Here is an 8,752-nt window from a genome sequence, read left to right on the forward strand (position 1 = left end):
GCTCATGGCAGGTTGGAGCCGGACAGTCTGGAAACTGCAATCTAGATTTTGCAGAAGGGTGACCTTTAGCCTTCTGCAAAACCTAGATCTCACTTAATGTAGATCTCACTGAAGAAGGCAAATAAAAAGTGAGTGGAGTGTTTATTCATTTTCCTGTAAGATTAGTAACTTTAAGGCTAAAAACTCTAAAGTAAGTATTTCCCAAGCCCCTGCTGTAAGTCAGTCATGTTGTGGGTACCAAGGCTATGAAGATGTCTCAGTCTCTATTTTCAGTGACCCAGTCTAGTAGGGACAAGCCATATGAACATATGCCCAGTTAAATTTGAATTTCAGGTTAACACGGAATTTGTGTGTGTGTGTGTCCCATATATGCTAAAGCAGTTAACTGGGCATCTATTATTATCATTATTTTTATAAGCAAAATCTTGCAACCGTGCATATAAACAGATGATTGCAGTATGGGCTTTACAAGGGCAGGGTGGCACGCTAATTGCTTGAGGAGCTTTGCTGTGGGTGCTGGTTAGGAAGCGTTCTCAGGGGAGAAGTCGCTTGTGCAAACTGCTTATCAGATAAAGCAGTGGGCAGGGTTGTCCTGGTAGAATCGCATAAGCAAAAGCAAGAGGCTGGGGGACTCGCAGTACAGCAGGTCTGTGCTACCTGAGCTGGCAGGTGAGGCAAGGATAGTGCAGGGGTGAGGTTGCTTCATCGTGGAAGGCCTTCTACTGTGCTTCCCAGGAGCTGGGTTCTATTCCAGGGGGAGTGAAAAAGGGTTTTGAGCGGGAGAGTGACATGATCTAATTTGTGTTTAAGAAAAAGAGATCAAATGGCAATGTTGAGGCTGGACTGGGGGAGGTAGGAAGCTTGGAGGCAGGGAGGCCTGAAGGAAATTGTCTAAGGTGAGTGAGCTCAGAAAAGTAGCAGAGCTTGAAGGTGAATGAGGGTCTTTTGACTCCAAGTCCAGGATGCCTGTCACTGTCCCCATCTAATTGAATTATGATTCACATGTGCAAGCATTTTACAAATCAGGAATGACACACCACATTATGCATACTTTTCCTTCTCTGAAAGATTAGCTTCACCCACATTTGGAAATACTGGAAATTTTTCTGTCCTCCTCTTCTCTTGCTTCTCCTTTGCATGTGGTCGGCCTCGGTGTCTGCCTCTGATTAACTCAGCCCTGTTTCCCACACAGAGCTCCCCCTGCAAACCAGACTAACAAGGCCAAGTGACAAAATGAATTATAAACCTCTGAGATATTTGGCCTTGTTTTCCTTGGGCCACAGCCTGACTTTTTTAAAGGCCCTTGGAATGAGGACACCTGTTTATTTTCAAGGAGACTCTGACCCAAGCCCCACGCAGATGGCTGGGCAGAGCATTTTGTGGTGGTCAGAGGTTGCTCATTTTTGGACCTGGTTTATTAAAAGTTGGACAGGGGACCAAGCAGAGCCTGGCACCTCTTTGTCCCTCCATCCATGGTGGGGGGCATTGGCAGCACCTTAGCACGCACAGAACAGCCCCTCAGAGAATGCACAGGTGTTGATTAACAAGGCTTGTATACACGTTAGTGGAGGAAGAAGAGAAAACAAACCTACTCTCTCATGCACATGTGACTAGAGTCACGTTGGGATCGTGAGGCTAGTGCTTTGTAAAAAAAAAATGGGATGCTTTTAACAGAAAGACATATAGAAAAAAAGGTAAGTGAGATGTGCAATACAGTCACATGTCACACAATGACGTTTTAGTAAATGACAGTCCTCATATACAAAAGTGGTCTCATAAGGTTATAGTGTAGCTGAAAAACTCCAATCACCTAGTGCCATCGTAGCCATTCCAACATCACAGTGCAATGCATTATATGTTTGTGGTGATGCTGGTATAAACAAACCAACTGCACTGCCAGTCATATAAAAGTATAGCACATACAATTATGTACAGTACATAATACTTGAGAATGATAATAAATACTACATTACTGGTTTATATATTTACTATACTATATTTTTATCATTATTTTTGAGTGTAATCCTTCTACTTATTAAAAAAAGTTAGCTATAACACAGGACAGGCAGGTCCTTCAGAAGGCATTGTTATCATAGGAGATGACAGCTCCATGCATGTTTTTGCCCCTGAAGACCTTCCAGTGGGACAGGACGTTGAGGTGAAAGACAGTGATATTATGATCCTGACCCTGTGTAGGCCTAGGCTAATGTGGATGTTTGTGTCTTAGTTTTTACTAAGAAAAGTTTTAAAAGTAAGAAAAAACATTAGAAAAAAAGCATACAGAATAAGGATACAAATAAATTATTTGTGTATAGCAGTACAATGTGTTTTAAGCTGTGTTATAAAAGAGTCAAAAAGTTGGCCAGGCACGGTGGCTCATGCCTGTAATCCCAGCACTTTGGGAGGCCAAGGTGGGTGGATATTTGAAGTCAGGAGTTTGATACCAGCCTGGCCAACATGGTGAAACCCTGTCTCTACTAAAAATACAGAAATTAGCCAGGTGTGGTGGCAGGTGCCTGTAGTCCCAGCTACTTGGGAGGCTGAGGCAGGAGAATAGCTTGAACCCAGGAGGTGGAGGTTGAAGTGATCTAAGATTGTGCCACTGCACTCCAGCCTGGGGGACAGAGTGAGACTGTCTCAAAAAAAAAATCAAAAAGTTAAAAAAAGGATAAAAAGTCTATAAAGTAAAAAAGGTACAGTAAGCTAAGGTTAATTTATTATCAAAGAAAAAATAGGCTACACTAAATCTATTTGTTCATCAAGTCTACAGTAGTGCACAGTAATAATGTCCTAGGCCTTCCCATTCACTCACCACTCACTCACCCAGAGCGACTTCCTGTCCTGCAAGCTCCATTCACGGCAAATGTCTTATATAGGTGGATCATTTTTAATCTTTTATATGATCTCTTTACTGTACCTCTTCTATGTTTAGATATGTTTAGATACACAAATACTTATTGTGCTACAATTGCTGACAATATTTAGTACAGTAACATGCTGTACAGGTTTGTAGGCTAGGAGCAGCAGGCTCTACCATACAGCCTAGGTATGTAGCAGGCTATATCATATAGGTTTGTGTAAGTTCACCCTATAATGTTTGAACAACAACAAAATTATGTAACAATGCACATCTTAGAAAATATCCCTATCTTGGACAGAATTACTACCCAGCCAACAAAGGAAGGAGACACGCTCTCCCTCTCCCCCTCTCCCTCTCTCCCTCTCTCCCTCTCCCTCTTTCCACGGTCTCCCTCTCCCTCTCCCTCTCTTTCCATGGTCTCCCTCTGATACCGAGCCGAAGCTGTACTGTACTGCTGCCATCTCGGCTCACTGCAACCTCCCTGCCTGATTATCCTGCCTCAGCCTGCCTAGTGCCTGCGATTGCAGGCGCGCGCCGCCACGCCTGACTGGTTTTCATATTTTTTTGGTGGAGACGGGGTTTCGCTGTGTTGGCCGGGCTGGTCTCCAGCTCCTAACCGCGAGTGATCCGCCAGCCTCGGCCTCCCGAGGTGCCGGGATTGCAGACGGAGTCTCATTCACTCATTGCTCAATGGTGCCCAGGCTGGAGTGCAGTGGCGTGATCTGGGCTCGCTACAACCTCCATCTCCCAGCCACCTGCCTTGGCCTCTCAAAGTGCCGAGATTGCAGCCTCTGCCCGGCCGCCACCCCGTCTGGAAAGTGAGGAGCATCTCTGCCTGGCCGCCCATCGTCTGGGATGTGAGGAGCCCCTCTGCCTGGCTGCCCAGTCTGGAAAGTGAGGAGCATCTCTGCCCGGCCGCCATCCCATCTGGGAAGTGAGGAGCGCCTCTTCCCGGCCGCCCATCTTCTGAGATGTGGGGAGCGCCTCTGCCCCGCCGCCCCTTCTGGGAGGTGAGGAACGTCTCTGCCCGGCCGCCCCGTCTGAGAAGTGAGGAGCCCCTCCGCCCGGCAGCCACCCCGTCTGGGAAGTGAGGAGCGTCTCCGCCCGGCAGCCACCCCGTCTGGGAGGTGTACCCAACAGTTCATTGAGAACGGGCCATGATGACAATGGCGGTTTTGTGGAATAGAAAAGGGGGAAAGGTGGGGAAAAGATTGAGAAATCGGATGGTTGCTGTGTCTGTGTAGAAAGAAGTAGGCATGGGAGACTTTTCATTTTGTTCTGTACTAAGAAAAATTCTTCTGCCTTGGGATCCTGTTGATCTATGACCTTACCCCCAACCCTGTGCTCTCTGAAACATGTGCTGTGTCCACTCAGGGTTAAATGGATTAAGGGCGGTGCAAGATGTGCTTTGTTAAACAGATGCTTGAAGGCAGCATGCTCATTAAGAGTCATCACCACTCCCTAATCTCAAGTACCCAGGGACACAAACACTGCGGAAGGCCGCAGGGTGCTCTGCCTAGGAAAACCAGAGACCTTTGTTCATTTGTTTATCTGCTGACCTTCCTTCCACTATTGTCCTATGACCCTGCCAAATCCCCCTCTGTGAGAAACACCCAAGAATGATCAATAAAAAAAAAAAAAAGAAAAAGAAAATATCCCTATCTTTAAGGGACATATGACTGTAATGGTAATAGTTTGCAAATGGCAGGAAAGAACGCAATGGATAAATGTATGCAAAATTATAGACATGCTTAGCTTTGGTAGTATGCAGTATGTAGTATAAGGTGATTTAAAAGGACTCTATTTTGAATCACCTAGTTTCTATTGAGCACCTACCAAGCAAACATCCTTCAGCCTTGTTGGGCTTGCAGTAGCAACCTGGTGGGCAGAGTTGCTGCATTATTAGAGACCCGGTTGCAGGCCAAGCCAGGAGTGAACAGAGGGCCATGGGAGACGGTACAGATGCTCCGGCACTGGTTTTGGTTCTGAGTTCTGTGAGTTTTCAGGGGAGAGTCCACACTGCAGGAGAATGGCTACTTTGTGAAGCTTGTGGTATTTGTAGCAAGTATGAGTATGACTTCACAAATTCATTTTCTTTAATTCAAATTAAACCAGGCTCTGAACCCTCCTCCCCTGCCTCCATCCTGAGATGGATTTATTCTAAGGTATCATTGGTGCATTCCTCCCCACCCCCAATACCATGGCCACCATCATGACCACCCACCCACCCACACCACTGCCACCATGAGTGGGGGTTGAACGACAATCCAGCAGGCCTAGAAGGTGCCTAAAAAGGGGCCAGGCCTCTGATAATCAGTTCCTAAGTTTTCTGCCAATACCTGTATCATCCAAATACGCATAGACACTTGAGGCTTTGCATCCTCACAAAGTTCTTTGAGGAACTTAGCCAGTGCAGGGCACCCTGGTACTGGGGCAGCCTCCTGGAAGTACCATGAATCATCAAGTCCCTCTGAGCTTTAGTCACCTCCCCGGGCTGCTGCATGGGGAGGCCTGAATGTTCAGTCCTCACCCAATGCTCGGCTGCACTCCTCTTCCTCCCCATCGTCTCCCAGCATCACCTCTTACCAGTGAGAACAAGGCAGGATCTCAAAAGGCAAGATAAAGCATGCCAGCAGCTTCCATCCTGTGCTTAGAGGATGGATAGGCGGGAACCCTAAAGGGCCTCACTAACTTCTTGAAATCCAGGAGAGGAGCAGGTGGAAGAAAAATACAGAGAACTCAATGCAAATTAATATATCAATCAATCATCCTGCTACTGATCATGGTGTCATTTACAGGCCATGCAGAGAGCAGCAGAGCATGGTAATGAAATTCTTGGAATCTTGGTTCTACCTCTTGCTAACCATGTGACCTTGCCCCAGTTTCCTAATAAGTAAACCAAAGATGGTAATCACAGAACACAGGCCCAGTGTTGCTGAAGGATCAGAGGAGTTAATACATATACAGCACTCAGTACAATATTGAGACACAGTGACACTCGGCCAATGTTAGCTCTTATTATTATTATACTTTTTTTTTTGAGACAGGATTTCTCTCTGTTTCCCAGGCTGGAGTGCAGTGGTATGATCATAGCTCACTGTTGCCTCAACATCCTGGGCTCAAGCAATCTTCCTGTCTCAGTTTCCCAAGTAGCTAGGACTACAGGTATGCACCACCACACCTGGCTAATTTTTTTACTTTCTATTTTGTAAAGATGGGGTCTCACTATGTTGCCCAAGCTGTGTTATTGTTACTATATCTCTATTTCACTGGAGCAAATATTGACCCCCCTCATAGCACACATTCAATACATTACTTCCACAAACAATATCTTCTCTTTTCTCAAGGATGTCAATACACCCTTCTCCACAATCAGTAAGATAGGAAGATAAGGAAAGAGGGGATGAGGAAAGGAAGACTCATACTGTACTAAGCTTGCTGACCACAGGCATGAGCTCCAAACACTGCCTGCCCGGACGGCTGGTACTCCCAGGAGAAGGGACTATTCTAGCTGTGATGACGCTCCTAACAGAACGATTTTAGGAATCTTACGGGAAAGGAGTGGGGTGTGCTCTGTGCGGGGGAGCTCACCACCATTAGAGGTGTGCATCTTGCCAGTGGAAGGAGTCCTGGACTGGCAGTTGTCTCCCGACTCTTCATCTAGCTTCATCTCTTGACTAAGTATCACTTCCTCAGATGTCCTCTCTGCCCCCAATCTAAATTAGCTCTCACCTGTCATTCTCTCTTATAATTTCTTCTTTGCTCTTATTAGCCTTTATTCAACTTTCAATGACGGACATTTTGTGTGTTTATTTGTTCAGCGTCTTCTCTCCCAGTAGATTATTTAGCTGTAGAGGGCAGAGATTAAGTGTGTTTTATTGACCAAGTATAATCGCTTAGCTTTCACTTTTTAATCTGTTAAATGAGGTTGGTAATACTGCTTTTGCCCACCTCACTGAGCTGTGAAATTAAAAATGTAATACACAGGAAACTTCTTTGTAAATCATAGAACATGGTGCACATTGAATTATGCTTAGCGCCATGTCTATTGGAACGTACATCACAAACTGAACACTTGTGAAATGAGCTCCTAGACAGATTAGCATTCTGTTAAATGAGATAATAGGGAAACATGCTCAGAACAGGACACACACTGTGAAAGCTCTTATTGTGTAAGGTCAAAAATAGCAGCCCCGACCTCTAAAACTACCATATCCATGGAGTCCACACACAGTCGGCTGGAAAGAGTTAAATAGGAGCTCCCACAGCCAAAGATGTCTAAACACATGTGGGAGTGAGTAACCCAGCGCCAGTGTGTTCTGGAGCTGGGGGAGGTTTTGCAGGTCACTTTTCAAGCAAGATGTTCCTTTCCTACCAAGAGGCAAGGATGGTCAACATCTATCTTCCCCTGCTCCACGTCAGTGAGACTGCAGAGGGATGGAAGACGATTCCAGAAAAATGCCTGCTGCCGCCAGCATTTCACAGACAGCAAACGGGAGGAGGGTGAAACTCCTTAAATTCAAAAATTGCACTGATATGTGCATTACTATATGTGGAACCGGGGGAGAGCTGGAGCTGGAGAGATACAGTTGATGAATACCCCAGTGTTGGGATGCGACTCCTCTGCTTTTCATAGACAAACCAGAAACATGAAATTATCCATCCTGACAGCCGGTGTGGTGTGGGAATCACAGGCTGGTACCCACAGACCAATGGTGATAACCAGGAAGATAAAAAGACAAAGATCAGATTGGACACTGATGGGTCTTGACTCTTTATCCAATTTGCCAGTCTGTGTCTTTTAATTGAAGCATTTAGTCCATTTACATTTAAGGTTAATATTGTTAAGTGTGAAGGTTAATATTGTTATGTGTGAATTTGATCCACATTATGATGTTAGCTGGTTATTTTGCTTGTTAGTTGATGCAGTTTCTTCCTAGCATTGATGGTCTTTACAATTTGGCATGTTTTTGCAGTGGCTGGTACCAGTTGTTCCTCTCCACGTTTAGTGCTTCCTTCAGGAGCTCTTGTAGGGCAGGCCTGGTGGTGACAAAATCTCTCAGCATTTGCTTGTTTGTAAAGGATTTTATTTCTCCCTCACTTATGAAGCTTAGTTTGGCTGGATATGAAATTCTGGGTTGAAAATTCTTTTCTTTAAGAGCATTGAATATTGGCCACCACTCTCTTCTGGCTTATAGAGTTTCTGCCGAGAGATCCGCTGTTAGTCTGATGGGCTTCCCTTTGTGGGTAACCCGACCTTTCTCTCTGGCTGCCCTTAACATATTTTCCTTCATTTCAACTTTGGCGAATCTGACAATTATGTGTCTTGGAGTTGCTCTTCTCGAGGAGTATCTTTGTGGCGTTCTCTGTATTTCCTGAATTTGAATGTTGGCCTGCCTTGCTTGGTTGGGGAAGTTCTCCTGGATAATATTCTGAAGAGTGTTTTCCATCTTGGTTCCATTCTCCCCGTCACTTTCAGGTACACCAATCAGAGGTAGATTTGGTCTTTTCACATAGTCTCATATTTCTTGGAGGCTTTGTTCGTTTCTTTTTATTCTTTTTTCTCTAAACTTCTCTTCTCGCTTCATTTCATTCATTTGATCTTCCATCACTGATACCCTTTCTTCCAGTTGATCGAATCGGCTACTGAAGCTTGTGCATTCATCACGTAGTTCTCGTGCCATGGTTTTCAGCTCCATCAGGTCATTTAAGGACTTCTCTACAGTGAGAACACTGGGACACAGGAAGGGGAACATCACACACCGGGGCCTGTTGTGGGGTGGGGGGAGGGGGGAGGGATAGCATTAGGAGATATGCCTAATGCTAAAGGACGAGTTAATGGGTGCAGCACACCAACATGGCACATGTATACATATGTAACTAACCTGCACA

The sequence above is a fragment of the Homo sapiens genome, chromosome 6 (assembly GCF_000001405.40).
Source record: "Homo sapiens chromosome 6, GRCh38.p14 Primary Assembly".
In the NCBI taxonomy this organism is placed as follows: Eukaryota; Metazoa; Chordata; class Mammalia; order Primates; family Hominidae; genus Homo; species Homo sapiens.